The 19,411-nt window shown below is 54.4% G+C and overlaps 2 protein-coding genes across 5 annotated transcripts in view, besides 2 other annotated features; both read right to left on the bottom strand.

Annotated features, from left to right (window-relative positions):
* The window catches only part of RANBP2 (RAN binding protein 2), a 1,122,820-nt gene that overhangs the window by 421,689 nt on the left and 681,720 nt on the right, over positions 1 to 19,411 (bottom strand). The gene's annotated exons all lie outside the window — the stretch shown is intronic.
* Positions 1 to 19,411, bottom strand: part of SH3RF3 (SH3 domain containing ring finger 3) — a 375,430-nt gene that overhangs the window by 84,022 nt on the left and 271,997 nt on the right. For all 4 annotated transcript variants that reach the window (NM_001099289.3, XM_011511109.3, XM_047444144.1 and 1 more), the window contains one exon: positions 971 to 1,074. In NM_001099289.3, the coding sequence (NP_001092759.1) occupies positions 971 to 1,074 (104 nt within the window). The remainder of the gene's footprint in view (positions 1 to 970; positions 1,075 to 19,411) is intronic.
* Positions 4,265 to 4,877: an enhancer, noted in NCBI's record as "H3K4me1 hESC enhancer chr2:110032192-110032804 (GRCh37/hg19 assembly coordinates)". NCBI's record gives its function as "activates a minimal SCP1, AML or CMV promoter by ChIP-STARR-seq in naive H9 embryonic stem cells {active_cell/tissue: H9 hESC(naive)}" and the evidence as "EXISTENCE:reporter gene assay evidence [ECO:0000049][PMID:30033119]".
* Positions 4,878 to 5,491: an enhancer, noted in NCBI's record as "H3K4me1 hESC enhancer chr2:110031578-110032191 (GRCh37/hg19 assembly coordinates)". NCBI's record gives its function as "activates a minimal SCP1, AML or CMV promoter by ChIP-STARR-seq in naive H9 embryonic stem cells {active_cell/tissue: H9 hESC(naive)}" and the evidence as "EXISTENCE:reporter gene assay evidence [ECO:0000049][PMID:30033119]".

The following is a 19,411-nucleotide window of genomic DNA, read 5'->3' as shown; positions in this document are numbered from 1 at the left end:
TTAGCCAGGCGTGGTGGCTGGCACCTGTAGTCCCAGCTACTTGGGAGGCTGAGGCAGGAGAATTGCGTGAACCTGGGGGGCGGAGCTTGCAGTGAGCCGGGATCGCGCCATTGCACTCCAGCCTGGGAGACAGAGCAAGACTCCATCTCAAAAAACAAAACAAAACAAAACAAAAACAACAACAACAACAAAAAATCCTGTTCTGTAACAACACAGGTTCTGAGTGTCCCTCTGACGTCTACCCACCCTGCATTCACAGAACTTTCTGTATTATGTCATCTTGTTTGCCAAGTTCATAGACTTCACCCTAACACAGTCATTCAAGTGACTGAGCTCTGCCAAACACAAGAGCAAAAGGGAGTCTAATTCTTCAGAGCATGATTTAAATGGGGAATTTTAAAATTGCACTTATCTGTTAAGAGCTGTAATTTAACTGGGCAGATTTTCTAAACAAGATAAACATCTCACTTCCTAGCACTGATTCATCTGGTTATATTTGGGGATGAGATGCAGCTGGCATGCGCTGGTGTGGCCCTGGGACGGGGGCTGAAACACAGAACCACTTCCAAGCAGTTGGTGACTAGTGGCTACCCAAGCTCCTAGACTACCCGCTGCTCTGCGCACCTGCTTCCCTCCCGCCTCTCCCCTCAATCTCGGACCTTCCATGCTATGGAGAGCTTGCTCCACACTATGGCTGGCTCCTCTCCTGTTGACTGGGAACTGCACTGTGAATACTCTGAATATCCTCCCTGCTTAGAAGAAATGTCCTAGAAACAACGACATCAGAAGGAACCGCTAGACTTTTGTCTTCCACACTCTCCCTTCAGCGGTGTTATTAGACGCACATAACTATACTGGCCAACTAGTAACACATGGGAAAACCCTGCGGAAACCACACGTGGACAGGTCAGCCCAGGCAGGAGGGAGGGCTGCAGGCACAGGACCCCGACAGACACAAAGGGCAGCTCACACGTTGAGGGGCAGCTGGACCTTGGGAGGCGTGCCCTGCTCTCCAGACACCGAGGCAGCCCGTGGGACAGCCGTGGGGGTAGATCCCGCCGAGGAGGAGACATCCTGGAAACAGACAAGAGGGGACAGGAGTGAGGAGACAGAGACTCCATCCAAGGGAAAGAGAAAAGCAAAATGAGGCTGCATCCACAGGTGCCTGTGCTTCGCCAGCTGCCTGGCTGTTTGGCCTCCAACGTGCTGTGCCTACCTGGACTGTCATGGGAGGGAGCCTGGCAGCCCGGGACCCCTGCCCTGAGGTGATTTTCAAGAGCCCCTTCCCAGCAGCTCAGGGAGCCTTCTACGGCCTGCATCTAGGCTGGTCAGCATCACACTGTAGTCAGGCCGTGTTCCAGACCTGGCTTTATTCTTAGACCTTGAATTAATTATTATTGTGTTTGTTTAAAAAAAACCCACACAAAATCTTTCATGCTATGAAACAGAGCTTATTTAAAAAGAGCGTCCCCAGGAACTGGAGATTAATCCCTAAAGAAAATTGGTCCCATGACAGCAGACAGAGCAGCAGGCCAAGAGGACCGGGAGTCACAGGGTGCCCCCCTCCCCCCAAGACCCCAAAGTGCTCCAAGCTTCAAGGGTTTTTTAAGCAAGGAGATGACCCGAGGAACGGTCAGCATCAGGGGTGCGCTGTGCTCTCTGGGGACAGTGGGGGGGCCGAGGGAGGAATCTGGGTGGCACCATGGTCTTGCCAAGGGAATTCCTACATAGAGAATCCTTAGTCCCAGCCCATGCAGGGCAGCACTGCCCCCAGGTCCCCCTACGACCCAGCTTGCTCGCCCTGCCCTGGCCTTCCCTAGGACAGTGTCCTGTCTTCCTGTTCAGAGGCATTCAATGGCAGAAGGGTCTGACCTGTGTACCTCTCAAAGATCTGTCCAAGTCCCAGCCCTGGCACCAGTGCTTGTGGTCTTATCTGGAATAGGGGTCTTTGCAGATATGAGGTAAGGATCCTGAGAATAGATCATCCTTGATTAGAGTGGGCACCAAATCCAATGATGAGTATCCTTACAACACAGAGAAGGAGGACCGGGATGTGGAGGGGAAGGAAGCCCATGTGAGGACGGAGCAGTGACAGGAGTGATGCATCCACAAGCCGAGGGGTGCTGAGGATGCCGGCAGCCACCAAAGCCAGGAGGGAGCCCCGGAACAGACTCCCCTCAGCCTCAGGAGGAACCAAACCTGTCCACACCTTGACTTGGGGCTTCCGACCTCTAGAGCTGTGAGAGAACAGCTTTCTGTTGCTTTTAGCCACCTAGTTTGTGGTACTGCTCTGGAAGCCTCAGGACACTCCATTAGAGGGGCTGTCAGGGAGCCTGGAGGAGGAAGGGGTCCACCTCCCTTCAAGGAGGGAGACAGGGGTCTCCTCCCTTCCTCTAGGATCCCGTGTAGGCCTGACGAGGGGCAGAATAGGGGTCCCAGCAGAAACTGGAGCACAGGACGGGGCCAGGCTGCAGGTACCTCGGCCAAAGGCAGGTTTGGTGGGGTGCAGAGGCTGCCTGGCTCTGAATGGGGAAGGTGCCTGTGTCCCCAGTGTGTGTCCTCAGGTGAGCGAAAGGCACTACAAGCAGAGACCACACAGATGGGAGGGAGAGCCACCTGGAAGTTGCCCCAGGTAGGTGGCCAGCCCTGCCCCCAGACTGGCCTCACACCACCTTCTTAGCTTAGGAGCAAGAAGCTTAGCTTTCTCATTACTCACTGACCAGTTCTGGCCTTGCTTAGCTGATAACCTCTGCATGCCGCCGGCCACCTACCTGCCCCTCCCTGAGTGGTTACAGCCCTCCCTGACCAGCAATCATAGCAGAGCCTGAAACCATGCTACATGGGCAGTGTCTACAAAGTCAGAAACGATTTCTTCCTCCTGTTTAAACCCAGTGCGCCTGGCAGAATGAGCGGGTGCAACCGAGAGACTCCCTTGGTGTCTCTAGGGTAACTCCAAGTCTCAAATGACTTCCATTGCAATGCAGACACTGTGAGAAAAACCTTTGATTTTCAAAGGATCCTGAGAGAGCCAGGTGTCCAGAGGCTGTCGGGGTCCTGTGCCTGGCTGAGGGTCCTGTGGAGGGTCCTGTGCCTGCCTCATGCCACATGCGGAAGCAGGAAAGGCTGAGCACCGTGTGAGAACAGGGCTGGAAGGGGGCATTCCTTCCCACGGATGGATTCCAGGGTCTTCTGTCTGCCCGGGACACCTGCCCTCTCCATGAAGGGAGACAGGGAAGAGGAGGTGTCCCCAACAATGCCAGGATCACTTTCCTTCTAGAGAACTCCCCAGAGCCGGTCTGGATCATGAGTCACCATCCATGGAGGTGTAGGTGGGGGCTGGAGGGCAAGTACGAGGGCAGAGACACCCCAAGGGAGGGAGAAGGAGAAGCTGTCACCTCACTCTCCACCAGGCCCTCCCAGCCCCAGGCATCTGCGCAGAGGATGCTTTCTCCACTGTCCACAGGTCTCCTTGTGGCCACTGAAGAAATGTGTGGGCAGGATCTTAGGGTCATTCACTCACCCATTCAAATAGTTACCAAGCAATTCCAACACAGGGACAACAGGCTCGACACACTGACACTCGATGACCTGGCAGTCGGAACTGGCCCTGGGCCCCCATGGGGAACACCATGGCCTGTGACTGTGTGGGGCTTGCAATCCAGGTGGCCAAGCACTGGACATACAATTCTTTTTTTTTTTTTTTTTTTTGAGATGAAGTCTCACTCTGTCGCCCAGGCTGGAATGCAGTGGCGCGATCTCAGCTCACTGCAACCTCTGCTTCTGGGCTCAGGCGATTCTCCCGACTTAGCCTCCTGAGTAGCCGGGATTACAGTTGCACAATACCACCCCCGGCTAATATTTTGTTCGTTGTTGTTGTTGTATTGAGACAGAGTCTTGCTCTGTCACCCAGGCTGGAGTACAGTGGCACAATATCCAGTGCAGTGGCTCACACCTGTAATCCCAGCATTTTGGGAGGCTGAGGCGGGCAGATCATGTGGTCAGGAGTTTGAGACCAGCCTGGTCAATATGGTGAAACCCCGTCTCTACTAAAAATACAAAAATTAGCCAGGCATGATGGCGCACGCCTGTAATCCCAGCTACTGGGGAGGCTGAGGCAGGAAAATTGCTTGAACCCAGGAGGCGGAAGTTGCAGTGAGCCGAGATATTTTGTATTTTTAGTAGAAACGGGGGGGTTTCGCCATGTTGGCCAGGCTAGTCTTGAACTCCTGACCTCAGGTGATCTGCCCTCCTCAGCCTCCCAAAGTGCTGGGATTACAGGCATGAGCCACTGCACCCAGCCTGGACATGTAATTCTAAGCATGCAGCAGCCCTAGGAAGTTCAGCGTGCACAGGCCCCTTACACAGGTACCCAACCTGGGCTGGGCGTGGCTGGGAGGGCTTCGAAAGGCATGAGGCAGTCTTGTTAGGGAATGTCTTAGTCTGTTTAGTGTTGCTTACGACAGAATACCTAAAACTGGGTAATTTATAACAAAAAGGAATTTATTTCTTATAGTTCTGGAGACTGAGAAGTGCGATGCTGCATGGCCACTTCTGGTGACAGCCTTCTTGCTGGTGGGGACTCTGCAGAGCATCACATGACGAGGGGGCTGAGCATGCTGGCTCAGGTCCTGCTGCTGCTTCTTAGAAAGCCACCAGCCCTGCTCCCATGAATCCAGGAATCCATGAGTGATTATTCAGCCTTGCCCTTGTGACCTAATTGCCTTTTAAAGGCCCCACCTCTCAGTGCTGCGCCTGGGGGATTAAATTTCAACATGAATTTCAGAGGGGACATTCAAGCCACAGCAGGGAGGTGGTGAGGGTGGGTGGTGGGCCTAGAGGAGCCCAGGCTGGCTAAGGTGGGAGGCCAGATGAAGTGACGGTTTGGAGGCAAAGGGGGCAGTATCCCCACGGGATGAGGACAGGCTGCGTGGGGCCTCCTGAGAGTGTTCTGGTCTTCAGTCTGAGGGCACGGCGTCCCTGGAGGACAGGCAGGGAGAAGGCAGCCACAGCCAGGACCTGCAGCTTTGCAGGGAACCCATCAGGAAGTGCGAGGGAGCCCAGCCTGCACCGGCAGAGGGCAAGGGAGTCAGGAGGGGGTCTGGACACGCTCAGGGGGCTGTTAGTAGGAATAGCAGCCGCGACTGTAGCACCCGTGATGGTAGCACTCGCCCTGTGCAGAGTCTACCATGGCTGGGCCCAGCTCTGAGCACTCCCCCTGGAACAATGCTTTCAACCTTCGCAAGCCTGCAGATGGGTATTTTGAACTCAGGCAGCCTGCTTATTATTTTGAACTCAGGCCACGTGCTTAGCCACCACACCGTGGTGTTAGTTCCTCACAGCTGCTGAAACAAACAGCCACAGACTCAGGGGCTTACAATCACTCAGAAGGTGTTGAAGTCAGAAGTTCTAAAATCAAGGTGTGGCAGGGCTGTGTTCCCTCTGGGAGTCTGGAGGAGACTCCAATTCCCTGCCTTTGCAGCTTCTAGAGGCTGCCCACGTTCCTTGGTCCCCTCCACTTTAAGGCAAGCAGTGCCACGTCTTCCTCTCTCTAGCCTCTGCTTCCACCACGCCATCCCCTTCCCTGACTCTGGCCTCTGCTTCCCTCTCGGGAGGGCCTTTGTGGCTGCGGTGGCCCAGGTGATCCAGGAGCATCTCCATCTCAGGGTCTTTTCCCGTTTGCCACATGAGGTGACACATTCTCAGGTTCTGGGATCAGCACTTGGACATGTGTGGGGGCCATCAGTCCCTTCTCCACCAACAAGATTAGGTCTGAAGGACGTTGAGGGAGGAGCATGGGCCGAGTTTCTAGCCTTGGCCAGATGGAAATGCTGCTGGAGAGACAGGAACAAGAGACCACAGAGGCCATGGGCTCAGTGCTGGACACGCAGTGTTTGGTGTGCCTGGAGATGTCTCAGTGTGGATGATGAGGGTGCTGGTAATGCCAATCAGGAGCTCAGAAGGGACTGGCCTGGGCAGCAGATCTGGGGTCATGTATGTATAGCTGATCTATGAGGCAATGCAGTCTTGTGGCAAAGCCCTTAGCTCCCAGGTGTGTGACCTGTGTTTGTGACCGTAGCCAAGATGGCGTCTGTGAGCCTCTGATTGCTCCTCGTGTCCATTGAGGGTCATGAACTTCTGCTCTGACCATGATGGTAACAGGGGCCAGGTTTACCCTCCTGCCTGAAAAAACTGAAAAACCAGATGAAACCTGAATCAATAGCTCCCAAGACTATAGAAATCAAGCAGTGGAGGACAGAGTCCCCAAGACATGAGAAGATGGGGTTGTGGCAGCTTGCATGGTCTAGACAGCTGGAGTATGAAGTCAGACAACCCACAGGCTATAAAGCAGTCACTCTAAGTACACAGAATAGGCCCTCAACAAAGGCTCGTGATCGTTGTCCTGAAGCCAACAGGGTAGACGGTGCAGTGGCCTGGGAGACAGTGAGGAGGGAGCATGCCCTGGCCCCATCTGCGGGACACCACCCAGAAGAGGGCCCTGAAGGAGGCCAAGATGGGGCAGCCCAATAAACAGAAGGAGACCCATAGCCCAGGGGAGATGGTGCTTCAGAGGGAATGTCATTGTCCATTGAGCTGCATGCTGTGGAATGGCCAAGGAAGCCAAGGACCTAGAAGGACCCACTGGTCTTGGGAATGCTGACATGCACAGGCGCTTCCTGGGGCAGGTGACTGCCCCTGCTGGACCACTGGTGGGGAGTTACACCTCTTGATCCCACTCATGGGATGCGGAAGACCCCAGTGTGCTCCCTGCAGGGAAAGCCCTCACTCCTGGCTTGGGCCAGTGGACCCACAGTCCCCTGGTTTCTGTCCCATTCTGCCATAGTTAGTAACAGAGAAGTCTGCAAACTCAGGTCCTACAAGGCATGGCCCTCATGACATGTCTATGCTGTGTGGAGGGCTGGTGGGGGCAGGCGTGCTGCCCCAGAGCACAGAATAGGGAGGGGAATGTGGGGGCCAGAGACGTTCTCATACAGCCCCAGGTCCTGGTGATTTGGGCTTGTAGACAAAGCTGTTCTCCATTCTAGAGCGGGAGAGACAGACAGGAAGACACAGAGACACAGAGAGAGACAGAGGTAGACAGACAGAGATAGAAAGAGACAGACAGACAGAGACAGGGCAGGAAAAAAAGCCTGTAGCCCCGGCAGTTTCCTGTTAAGAATGAATCCTAAAATAACCAGACAGGCCTGGGGTGGTGGCTCACGCCTGTAATCCCAGAACTTTGGGAGGCCAAGGCAAGCAGATCACCTGAGGTCAGGAGTTCGAGACCAGCCTGGCCAACATGGTGAAACCCTGTCTCTACTAAAATACAAAAATTAGCTGGGCATTGTGGCAAGCACCTGTAATCCCAGTTACTTGGGAGGCTCAGGCAGGAGAATCGTTTGAACCCATGAGGCGGAGGTTGCAGTGAGCTGAGATCACGCCACTGCACTCCAGCCTGGGCGACAGAGCAAGACTCTATCTCAAAAAATATATATATAAAATAATGATAATCAGACAAGTCAGAAAGGAGGTACAGGTAAGGATTTCGCAGCAGCACTGTTTATGATACGAAAAACCTGCACTCCTGAAGTTCCAGGGTGTGGGGCTGGCAGGCTGACAAGGACACAGAATGCCCCACTGCCGCCTGTGCCGTGGTCTCCATGGACAGGCCTGGAGGGCCATGTAGGGTATGCAGAGTGGAAATGGAGGTGACAGCATTGCATATGAAGGCTTATCTAATTTCTGACAGTGATACGTGTATTTTCATGGCAAGAAGTCAGGAAACTTACATACCAAACCATAACTTTGCTCCTTTGGGGAGTTGCCTTTTGGGATAATTTTATTATTTTTTAATCTACACTTTAATATCAAGTGACAATGGTTTCCTGAAACATTTCCACAGTGGTATGAGAAGAATAACAGAGTTAACACTTGAGGTCTGGCTGACGGTAAGCCCGTATCTTTCTCGATCCCCCATGTGCCATCTTTGTCAGGGGATCCTGGGAGCTGACAAAGGGCAGGGGTGACCCTGCAGCACCAGCAGGGGCTGGGCTGGCAGTTCTGTGCTCCCAGGCACTGGCACTCTGCTCTGCAGCAGCGGGAAGAGTGGGAACCTAAGATGATAGGCACGCACTGGTCCTGCTGTTGTTACCATGCCTGCTGTCCTGTTCAGATAAATGCTCCAGAAACAGCCAAGCTGTCCCAAACCAGCATAGCACAAGCAAAGCACAGCCAGAGCCACGCTGGGGCCACACTGGGAGGGTGGCCTGCCTGAAGCCTGCCCCGGCACTTGGATCTCCACCTCCCAATGTCCTGGAGCTGCTCAAGCCATACTCCAATGAAAGGGGGGCAATGTGTTTGGCCAGGAGAGACCAAGGAGACTGTGTTTTGTCTGCTGGGCAGAGGCTGAAGGCTAGGCTGAGAGTGCACACTGTGCGGAGCACACGCATCGTGGACCACGGCGGCCGAAGGCTCACCATCCCATCTGTGCCGGCATCCACCGACTGCCCTGCGTGAGTCCAACGTAAAGCAACCCACAGGGCTCGGTGTCAGGAGGCTCGGGAGGGCTCAGCCAAGGAACCTGAGGTGTGGACAGTGGGAGCTGCCACAGGGCCCATTCAGGGGTCTGGGGCCTTGGCCACCCTGACACAGGCTGTCCCTAAAGACAGCAGGAGGGAGACATTCTGCCGGCTTCACTGGAATCCTGGCCTTCAGCTGACACTTGATATGGCAAAAGCTCCAAGCAAATATGTGGGATTTAACAGTAAGCTATTACTTAGAGCTGGAATGAAGAGCAGAGAGAGGTCAGATGTGTGGAAATGCTTTTTCCCAAAGGTCAAGATGAAGAATGCCTAAAACTGACATGGCTGAGCGTGGCTCCCGTGTGGCCGGCCTTCCTAGCATGGGTGTGTGGTGTGGTACCCAGGGCGAGGGGTGCGAGGGACATCCTGCTGTGTAGGAGGCAACGCTGGGCTGGGCTCTGCCCTCAGGGATATGAAAACTAAAAGTACAAAGAAATGAGTGGCACACTGGTCGTGGCTTCCCGATGCTGATGGGGTCAGTCCATCCTCTGAATCTGGTCTCTGTTGCTACGGATGCAAACGAGCAGCAATTTGCTGGTGGCCAAGGTGGGAGGGGGTCAGGGGTCCTCCCACTGACAGGCTCAGCAGCACGCTACTGGGGGCCACAGGCCCAGCTGTACAGAATGTGACTCCCAAGAACACGAGGCCTGCTGAGGGGCAGAGATGAGCAGCCACTGCTAACCCTGGCAGGAACTAACTGCAGGGAAAGGGGCCTCTCCTTTAAATGACTGTAATTGGGAACTCCTGAGTAAAGGCACAGACTTCCACACGGCCAGCATCCTGCAAAGCCTGAGCTGCGCACTGCCTGGATGTACTTTCAGCCCCCAACCAATGGCGCCTCTCCCCTGAAGTATTCATAACGAGGTTGAGAGTTGCTGACTGTGACACCAGGGACTTGAGGGCTCCTTGCCTCCAGCTCCAACCATGGTGCTTGGCCCTGGACGCAGGCCTGGCTTCCTCCTAACCACGAGCCACCTCTCTGATGCTGCTTTGATTTTTAATGGCTTAATTTTAAATGATTCTAGGCCTTAAGGGATTAGTAAAGACTTGGCAGGAGTGAGGGAGTCAGCCAGTGATAAAACAAGAAAAGAGAAAGAGCTCCAGGTGCCTTTGAGTAAAAATAACTGGGGACACAGCCCTCAGACAGATGTTCATCCTATCTCCAAGATCATCCAATGGAAATCTCTGCTCCGACTTCAAAGCCAAGTGCAGCCCTGTCTCCCACGAAGTCGCGCCTAGCAGCCCATGCCCAGGAAAGGGCTCTGACTATAATAAAGTACGTTTGCACCACGGTCTTTTTAAAAGGCTCCATAATGGATACCTGCCAGGATTTGGCCTAGGCAAGTGGACACACATGTTCCGAAGGAGCTGGCTGACATGCAGTGGCCCAGTTCTCTGAGTCACTGACCCTACAGAACAACTCCAGCAATCCCTCCCTCGGGCAGGATGCTCAACAACACAGCCTGTGAGCATTTCACATGAGCCCAGTAGTGCAAGGTCGGCTGGCAGGGCTACAGGTAGGAGAGGATGGCCTGTCTGATGGAACTTAGCACAAGCAAACAGTAAAGTGACAGCGTGCACGCTGATGCTGCCCCCTGGGTGCACGGAGCTGCAGGGGCCCTCCGCACCGAGGTCAGGGCTGGAGCTCAGTCTGACTGTGCAGTGCCCTGGATCCAGGCAAGCTCCATTGCTCCTGCATCTCTCTCCCTGTCACAGAGCTCACAGGTGAATGGCACACAGCGCTGGAGCTGCTAGTCAGTAAAGATTGGGCTGTCATCTGTGACGGCGATGTGTTTCATCAAATTCCAGCCTCCCCTGGTTGGAAGCCTGGTGTCAGCAATGGCTGCAGTGCTGTGGCCGCGGTTCCCCGATTCTAAACCGCCAGGTTGTAACCAGACACTAGAGCCTCCTCCGCTGCATTTTAATGGGGCCCCTAAGCAGTGGCTGGGAACCAGGCCGTATTAGTTCCCTGCTGGGATTACTAAAAGGGAAAAAAGAGGGTCTGGGCGTTGGCAGGCTGTACGGGGGCTCCGAGTCTCTTTCTTTGACACTATGGAACAGATGAAGACCCCAAGAAGAAACATCTCCTCATTTAAATGTTTAATGTAAGTCCAGAAAACACTGTCATCACCCCAAGGAGCAGTGAAATGGGCATGCATTATTCATCACTCGCTACCACTCCATTACACGGGGTGTAAATCAGACCCTCATGAACTTGCTTCCCAAAGAAAACTCTAGAATAAAACATTTATGGCTGATTCTTCTGCTTGATTCTGCAAAGAGGAGCAAGCAGCTTGTGTAGCCAGAGGCCCCGCGTGCCTCTCGATCTCCCTCTCGGGGAGGGCAGTGGCCGGGGAGCCCCAGTGAGGGAGTCTGTCCTGGGAGAGGCAGCAGCCACGCCTTCTGCCCACATAACTTCAGCACTCTCAGCTGGTGAGGGGAACTGCTTGCTCACCACTGAAGATGGAGGCCAAAACTCCCCTCCACTGCTGCCCACAAGCCACCTGCCCCCGTAGGAGTTCCAAATTTGCTGCTGGATATTTAATTCTCACCCACAGGTTGGATCTGGCCCAGTGTTCTGCTTTTGTGAATAAAGTTTTATTGGCAGCCAGCCATGCCCACCATCCACTGCTGTCTCCAGCTGCTCTGATACTGCAGGGTGGAGCTGAGTCACTGCGGCAGATACTACCTGGCTGCAAAGTCTAGATTATTTACTATCTGGCTGCTTCCTTTAGAACGTTTGCTGCCCCTGCTCTAGGTGTCTATGATGAGAAGATGAACCTCTTCCCCTTTCTGCCTTTGTCTTACTGGGCCAATAACTGGAACCAAAAAGTGAAAGTTGTGATCAAAAGCTTAACAAGGAATTCCCACAATATTACTAAGGCGAATGGATCAAAACAGTGGAATATGGGAGGAGAACATCCACAACCCGACTCCAGTTTGGTGAATGAAAATCTCAAAACGTCAACAAGGAAAGGGGAGGTCTGTTAAGGAAGTTATAGGACCCCTTTCTCGCCTACCCGGGGCTTCCCAAGCCTCAGCTAAGAAGCAACCTATCTTGCCCTGGAGCCTTTCTTCTATCAGGAAGAGCCGTGGATGGCCTCCGCTCATGGCCTTCCTCACAGCTCTCACTCGCCTGTTGCCTCTGATGGTAGGAAGGCCCTGGACCCCCCTCCCTGTGCGCACCCATCAGGCCAGAGGCTTCTCCATCCAGCTTTGCATAAAAGGCACAATATTCATCCACATCCAACTGTGCATCCATTCTGTCTTCAAACAGAAAGTGCCTCCTTTACAGGCGGTGGCTGCAGGAGGGGTGGACTTTGAAAAATCCTTTTGTTCAGCTCTAATTCAGTGTGTCCGTCTATCCATCCTTCTGTCTGAGAGTGCCAGTGCGGGGCATTGCCTGTACAGAGAGGGAAAGCACTCTCTTGCCGCAGCGAAGCTCACGGGCTGGTAGAGGGGACAGCGAATGGGAGGACGAGGTCCTGAGAGCGAACCCGGCCTGGGCGTGAGCGCGTGTGGGACCCCGTTTTTCTCGCCTCCCAAACCCACACTGCATCCAGATAATGCCTGTGGGGAGGTAGGTGGTTTAGCCTGGAGCGGGAGGGCAGATGAGCTCTGGCAGAGGGAGGGTGAGGCAGTCAGGAGATCTGGGTGGAGAAGGTTCTTAGCTCCTCACAGTCCTCCCGTCCAGGGCCATCATGGGTCTTCACATTACAGCCCTGAGGACACCGACCTCAGTGGCCTGGTTTCCTCCTGCTTTACCTGTACTGATCGAGGCCCTTCCTCCTTTCCACCCTCTGAGGCATGGACTGTGTGCTAGTCTCCTGGTGGGTCCCATGGGGCCTACCGGTGGGCATTCATGAACAACCCTCTGTGGATCCCTGCAGGATGTGGCTTCAACAGCTGCTAGGACAAGGGAGTGACTCTTCTGTGCTGCTAGCCAGCAAGTGCCCACCCAGAGCTCCCGGATGCTCTCCAAATGCCAAGAAGACCCAAGGATCTTTCCTGACTCTGCCCAAGGATGGCCTGGAGGCACAGGCAGAAACCCGTGGATCTGGTTCCTAGCTCGTCATAGCAGCAAAAGAAACACTGCCAGCACCCTGCACTGTGATTGGTAAGCTTTGCAATCGACAAAAATCATCAGGACGCCAGGTCACAGGCAGCCACGGTGTCCTCTGTCCCCACTTAAAGGCCAGGATTGGTAAGTCATGGAGGTACAGCTATTTCCAGATTTGTAGAAGAAAGTTTTCTTGTATAAGATTCTCACAATGCAATTTTTTTTTTATTCATCCCAGGCTCACTTGGTACTTTGTTTTGCCTCCCTATAAGGCATGTAATTAAATTTATAACTTTCTGAAAATGCTAAAAATAAGCCCAGGTGCTCTGCTATGCAGGCAGCTTGTACTCTGCAGTTGAGAGCTGGAGCTGGAGCCGGAGTTTGCACAGCTTATAAGCAGTAAGTCTGGGGGCTGCCAGGCCTGAGGCAGGAAGGTCCTGCTTCAGCTCCTTCAGCTTTTCCCCAGCACTTCCTCCTGCTTGAAGCATCTGTCTGTCTGTCCTGTGGCAGAGATAATAAGACCCAGCCAACACAGGAAGCTGCATAGAGACAAATAGCAGGTGGTGATGCATTTTAAAGTTGCCCAGAAGCTTCCATAAGGAACTCTCCTCATTTACTTCTCAGACACGAAGAGACTTGAGAAATGCTGTCTTTTGATGTTCTCCCTGCTGAATTTCAAACACTTCCCCTTCCATTGATTTTAAAGGGTATGTTCCTAATTTCCAAGGGTTGCTTATTTGGAGGTAATTTGTAAGCCATGGTGCTCTCCAGAACAGAGAAGCTGGCAAGGGCCAATGAAGGTGCTGGTCCTGGCTGGACGGCGAGTCAGCCTGCATCTGACCACACTCTGGACCCAGCAAGAGCCCCTGCCCAGAGGCAGGACACTCATGGGCAGTATTAGTGGGTATATGCTTGCACACAGCAGTGCAAGCATAGCCGTCAGAGCCACACTAGCCTTACTTTGGAAAGGTGTCGTCTCTTCCTTTGAAGCTTCCCAACTTCTGTGCTCAGAAATGCAAACTTGCTGAGTTGCAGGGAAGTGGCACCTGGGGACGGTTCTCCTCAAGGCCCCGCTGGACTCCATGTGCCCACCCCTCAACAGGGCGGGGCTGTAAGATTGGCTTCGACCACTGAAATGCGCATGAGCAGAGGCTTCCATGTAGCCTCTGCACTGGTTGCTTCATTTCTGCCCCTGCTATGGTCCTGGAGACATTCTACACCAGGAGTCAGAAGGCATTTTCTGTAATGGGCTCAGTAATAAACATTTCAGGCTGTGTGGGTCTTAAAATCTCTGTCAGAACGCCTCAATATCTCTGTTATGGCCTAAAAACAGCTGCGGATGATATACAAATGGGCGTGTGTGACCCTGTTCCAGCAAAGCTTTCATTTACCAAAACAAGTAGTGGCTAGACTCAGCCTGGTGTTTGTTGGTGTCCCAGGTGAGGATGGTAGAGCCAAGCCCTCTTCTACCGGTGACTCATAGTATGAGTGAGAAGCAAGCATTCACAGCTTGGTGCCTCCGAGAACGTGGGCTGCTTATTACGTGATATAGCTGCTCTCAGTGATGGACCTGGGCACTCCAGAGCTGACTGCCCATTTAGGGTCCTCGGGCACCTGCTTGACTTCATACTTGGTTTATGAGGAAATTTTTCTAAAATGTAAGCAATCATTTCCCGATTTGATCCAGTAACCTCAAAAGCAAATGTGTCATAGTGGAGTTGGCCTGAATGGCCTCTTTCCCTCTCCTCTGATTAACCTCCCTCCCCCAGCAGAGCACTGACATGTGAATGATACTCCATTATGCCCAGAGCACCAGCTGAGCCTCTGACCTCTCCCAGTCGCAGAGGAAGAATCCCTAGGGGTGCAAACATGAGCAGGACGGGCCATCTGAGGCTCAGCCGGCTGCACGCCCTGGACACCTTCAGCCAGAGCCCCGCAGCTGTGTCCTCTCCCCAGCCATCGATGTGCAGCCGGGCCTGCGGGAGTTGGGGAAGGCCACACAGTCTCTCAGGTACCATGCTGCTTTATGTACAAGACCATCCAGTGAGGAATGCTGCCGGTGCTGTCTTGTGGCCCACCCAACAAGGAAGCTAGCGTGTGAGAGCCCCACCTGTGGGCCAGTGGCACCTAGCCCTGCCTTCAAGGACCTAAAAGCCCAGGGAGGAAGGGGGGATGGCCATACACACAAATAATATTCCATCATGGGCACACTGGAAGTCCTGTAGGCAAAGAGACAGTGGGGGAATTGATTTGGTGGTGGAAAGGTGACATGGGGCCATAGAAAGCTGCGGAGAGGTGAACATGTCAGATGGTCTGGAAGGGCGGGCAGGAGCCTTCTGCACAGGTATGTGTCTGTGTGTTGCCTGGTAGGTAGAATGCCATGCTGAGGGGCAGCAAAAGGGACATGGGCAGGTGGGAAGGGATTAGCTACGGCAGTTTCGGGGAGAAATGGACCAGGGCCAGAGCAGCGTGGTGCGCAGGGAGAAGATCTGCACAGGCTCACGGGAATGGACAGTGCTGCCGGGAGCTGGAGAGGCAACCAAGGGCCAGTCTGAAGGCTCCCCAGAACCTTCCAAGGGACTCAGGAGGGAACTCAGGGGCAGGGAGTCAGTGTTGGGGAAGACGAAGGGTATTAGCGAAGACGAAGAGTGTTAGCTCAGGGCACCTAAGGACAGTGGTGACTCCTTGAGGAACAGATGGAATACAGAAGGGGAAGCAGGTTTGCGGAAAGAGGGGTGTCATCGGTTGCTCCTGGCATGCGCTGAAGTTGAGGCGTCTCTCCAGGAAGCCAGCAGGTAGTTGGAGAAGAGAATCTGTAGTTTAAAAGAGGTGCTGGCAGGTGACGTTGGCTGGGGTTCTGGAGAGGGTGAACCCCCATGGGTGAGTATGCCCAGGATGGGAAGAGAAGGTGGGGGGTATTTGTGTAGATGTAGGGGCTAGAGATGTAGGGGAAGAGAAGGTGGGGGGTATTTGTGTAGACATAGGGGTTAGAAAGAGGGTCTGGCAGGAGGGGCCAGGACGGGGCTCCACTGGAAAGAAGAGGCACAGATCAAAGGGGACAGGTTCAGGAAGGGGTGCTGTCCACAGCGTCAAGTGCTGCCAAGAGGTCAAGATGGCGGATGAGGAAGGAGGATGCTGGACAGGGCATTGGTAACTGTGGCTGGGTCAGCTTCAGCAGCAGGGGTGGTGGGCAAGATCGGACTGCAGAGAGTCGAGCACATCCATGGGAAAGAGGAAGCAGTAGGTCAATGAGAGAAGAATGAGAATGGGCCTTCCGCAAAGGTGCTGGGAGGGGGCACCCGGTGGGAGAGGGGTCAGCTCTGCTTGGCCGCCAGCCTGGGCCACACCCCACCTGCCCAGGCCCTGTGTGCCCGTGGCAGCCTCTGGGAGGTGCCCAGTGGCCAGCCCCAGCAGCTCCTTGGCGACCTTGACTGTGCTTGTGGCCAGCCTAGGCCCGGCAAAACTTCCGTCTAGGCCCCACTCCCCCATCTTTCTGTCCCCTGTCCCTGCCCCTGCAGAGTGGCTGCTGAGACTCCCAGTCTCGAACTTGTAGCATTTCCCACATGGCTACTCAGAGGCCAGGCGCTGGCCTGTTCTGCATCGGCACCCCACTCCCCGCCAGGCCTCGAGCTCACCTTACACAGCTCCCAGCTCTCTCCTCGGTTTCACAGCTCTTCCTTTTCAGCATTCTCATCAACAAAGCCTCAGCCTAAAGCCCTTTCCTGCAAAGAGCTTGACAGTGGATATTTCAGGCTGTGTGGGTGTCAGTCTCTGACACTTTTTCTTCTCCTTCCTTTACTTCCCCTCCTTCCCATCCTGCAGTGGTCTCGGCCACACCCACTTCTTACCCACCACCAGCTTTCCAAAACCTCCAGGACCCAGCACAGCACCAAGCCAGAGATGGGCTCCTGGAGCAGAAAGCAGTGACTAGAGATGATGTGTCTGGTGCCTGGTGTCTTGGACTGGTGATTCATTCCCTGATTCCCTGAGCAGCAGAAAGAGCCACCACAGCCAACACTCAAGGTACACCTACCAAGGAGGGCAGCCCGCACGCACGCCCTCACTCCACCCTCACAGTGGCCATGGTGGGGGCGCACAGCTTGGCTCCATTCCACAGACAGGTAGGGGAGTTTTTGGGAAGAGGTCAGGCAGCTTACCCAAGGTTGCAGGTGCAAGGATAAGTGCTCAACCTGGCCGTCTGGCTCTGGAGGCTGGCTCTTAACTGCAGGGCTCCAAGAGGTTCAGCAACTCTCCTGGGGTGACACAGCTAGAGAGAGGGAGCCTGCACCTCCACCCCAGCACCCTGCATTGAGCCTGGCCTCAGCCTAAAAGAAAAGCAAAGCAGGGGCACTTTATGGAGCACCGCAGGGACCTGCTGGCATTCTCCTGCGTGTCTCCTTTGGCCTGAGGTCAGCCCTGTGCATTTTATGGAGTAAACTGGAAAGTTAAGTGATAACCATGTCCTGACAAGAGTGGGGCCCTGGAAGGCCAGGGAGGGCTGGCACAGAAGTACAGCCCTGAGGTGTCACCACTACCCCTGGGGCCTCGGCTTCCTCATCTCTGAAGTGGAAACAATGAACAATTGGCTCACTGTGGGGTGAGGTGGGCCACACAGTCGGGGAAGCTGAGAAGTGATGCAAGCCAGGACAGAGGAGGTGAGATCAGCAGAAGAAGCCGAAGGAGAGATGGGGGACAGGCAAACTACAGACGCACCCCTAACAGCTGCGGGGAGGAGGCCAGCCTCGGACAGTGCGCGGCTCTCAGGCTGTGCTCCCAGGCTTCATGGTGCTCGGGCACTCTGAGAAGCAGGGAAGTGTCCCCTGTGCCTCAGACGCATTTCTATAGAAACCACAGACGCACGCTTCCTTTCTATTTTAAGACAACACCAAAGAAAGAGCAAAACCAGTCCATTACAGCGAGAGCCCCTTAATTCGGCCAGCTAAGGGGCTTCCTCATCCACATCCCCCCACCCACCCTGACTGTGTATCAACTGCAGTCGATGCGTTGGACAGCACAGTGCCCAGCAAGCAGCCCATCTCCACTCCAGCCAGCTGCTTTTCCAGGGCAGACGCCTGCTGTTTGGACCTTTCTACAGAACCCAGTGCAACGTTCAATGAGGATTCAATAACTACCAGGGACGATACCATGCTCACCCCAAAAGTAAATGCACTGGGACACACAACCCACGATCTGTAATCCTCTGCCCCCCATGGCCCAGAAGTCCTGGTCCAGATGACCAGCCTTGTACACTTCACCATCCTGTCTTCCCCTACAGCCCCAGTCTCCAGGTGCCAAGAATTCATCCTGTCAGTCAAGATGTTCTTTATCACAGCCTGAATGGACACACTGGGTCCCGAGGGGACTGTGAGAGGCAGGGGACTGGCTGCTGCAGTGGCCCTTGCTGGGGCCAGCACTGCCCCATGCTGTAGGCACCGAGGAGCCTGGGGCTGCGGGCCTTCCTGCTCTGTCCACTCCACGTTTCCCACGATGGCAGTGCTGGCATGTGAGGGGCCTCTGTTTGTGGATGAGCCCATGACACAGCAATGCTGAATTTCTCCAAGCCGATGATCAAAGCCGAAGTGCCACCCACTGACCACAGAATCCTGGGCCTGGGCTCCCTCTCCTGGGCTGTGGCCAGCATGGTGGGGAAGAGAATCCCTGCAGCACTGTGGTCACAGCAGGACCTGAGTCTGGCTCGCCTTGGCTGCCATGGGCCAGTCCTCAGGCCAGGCACTTCCTGGTCAGACGCACATGGCCAGCAAGGTGGTAGGAACCAGGAAGGCAGTGCAGAGCAGGGGCAGACCGGGAGGGCTTGGTCTCTGGGCACATCCAGACCATAGCAGCACACTGGAGCCCGCAGGGGCAGCATACACAGCTCACACCTGCACCAGGTGCCCCTTCTGTCTCCCGGCAGCTCGATTAAATCAGGACAGGGAGACAGGCGGCAACTGCTTTATTTGACCTCTTGCCCTTTGAGGTGACCCAAACTAAAGTCAGTAGCCTGGCCATGACTTTCGCTTCAAGTCGAACTGCTGGAAAATGGATCCCAGGATCCCAGTCCCGTCAATCCCTAATTCTAATCCCTGTGGAGCCAGGTAGTATGCAAATTAATAGAAACATCTGTTCCCTTCCAGCCCCAATAGACATCAGACTGCAGAGAGCTTAGAAAGGTTCCCTCTGCTTGTTTTAACACGGAGGCCATGGCAACATGAGAGGCTGGTGCAGGTGAGGATGCAGGAAGGAGAGGAAACCGGATCCTGTACCTGTGTGTGCTGAGCCCACATCTCAGGGGCCTGTGGGAAAGTGGCAGAGAAGATGCCCCTGGCCCTCTTGGGACACAGCAGCAGCTTTGCAAAGTCATGGGCCCTGTGGGCTCCTTTTTTAGAACTCCAAGGAACACCGAGGGCAGCTTTGGACATATTACTCACAAATTACAGGACACAGGCCAGATACTTGTCAGGATAGGCACTGGCCTGGCAGTTCCAGGGCCATCTCTGGCTGGTGATCAGGAAGAAGGGCCCTCCCTCTGGTTGATGGGGGTCCCTGACTACAGTGAGAGTGGCCTTTGCTCTTCTAGGAGGAAGGAGACAAACGACCTACCCAAGTGGTCCACAAGGGCCAGGCCGCTGCTCCTCAGTCCTCTTCTTAGGGGTACCCCTCAAACCTGCTGCAACTTCCCTTTGAGCCAAATTTGTTTCACAACACAACTTTCGACTGTTCACATCGCCAACAGTTGCTCAGGTTGCCAAGGAGGGACCCCAGCTCTGGGCCA

Source organism: Homo sapiens, chromosome 2 (genome assembly GCF_000001405.40).
Source record: "Homo sapiens chromosome 2, GRCh38.p14 Primary Assembly".
Classification (NCBI taxonomy): Eukaryota; Metazoa; Chordata; class Mammalia; order Primates; family Hominidae; genus Homo; species Homo sapiens.
Note: the sequence above shows the minus strand (reverse complement) of the source record. Positions and strands in the feature narration are given on the sequence as shown.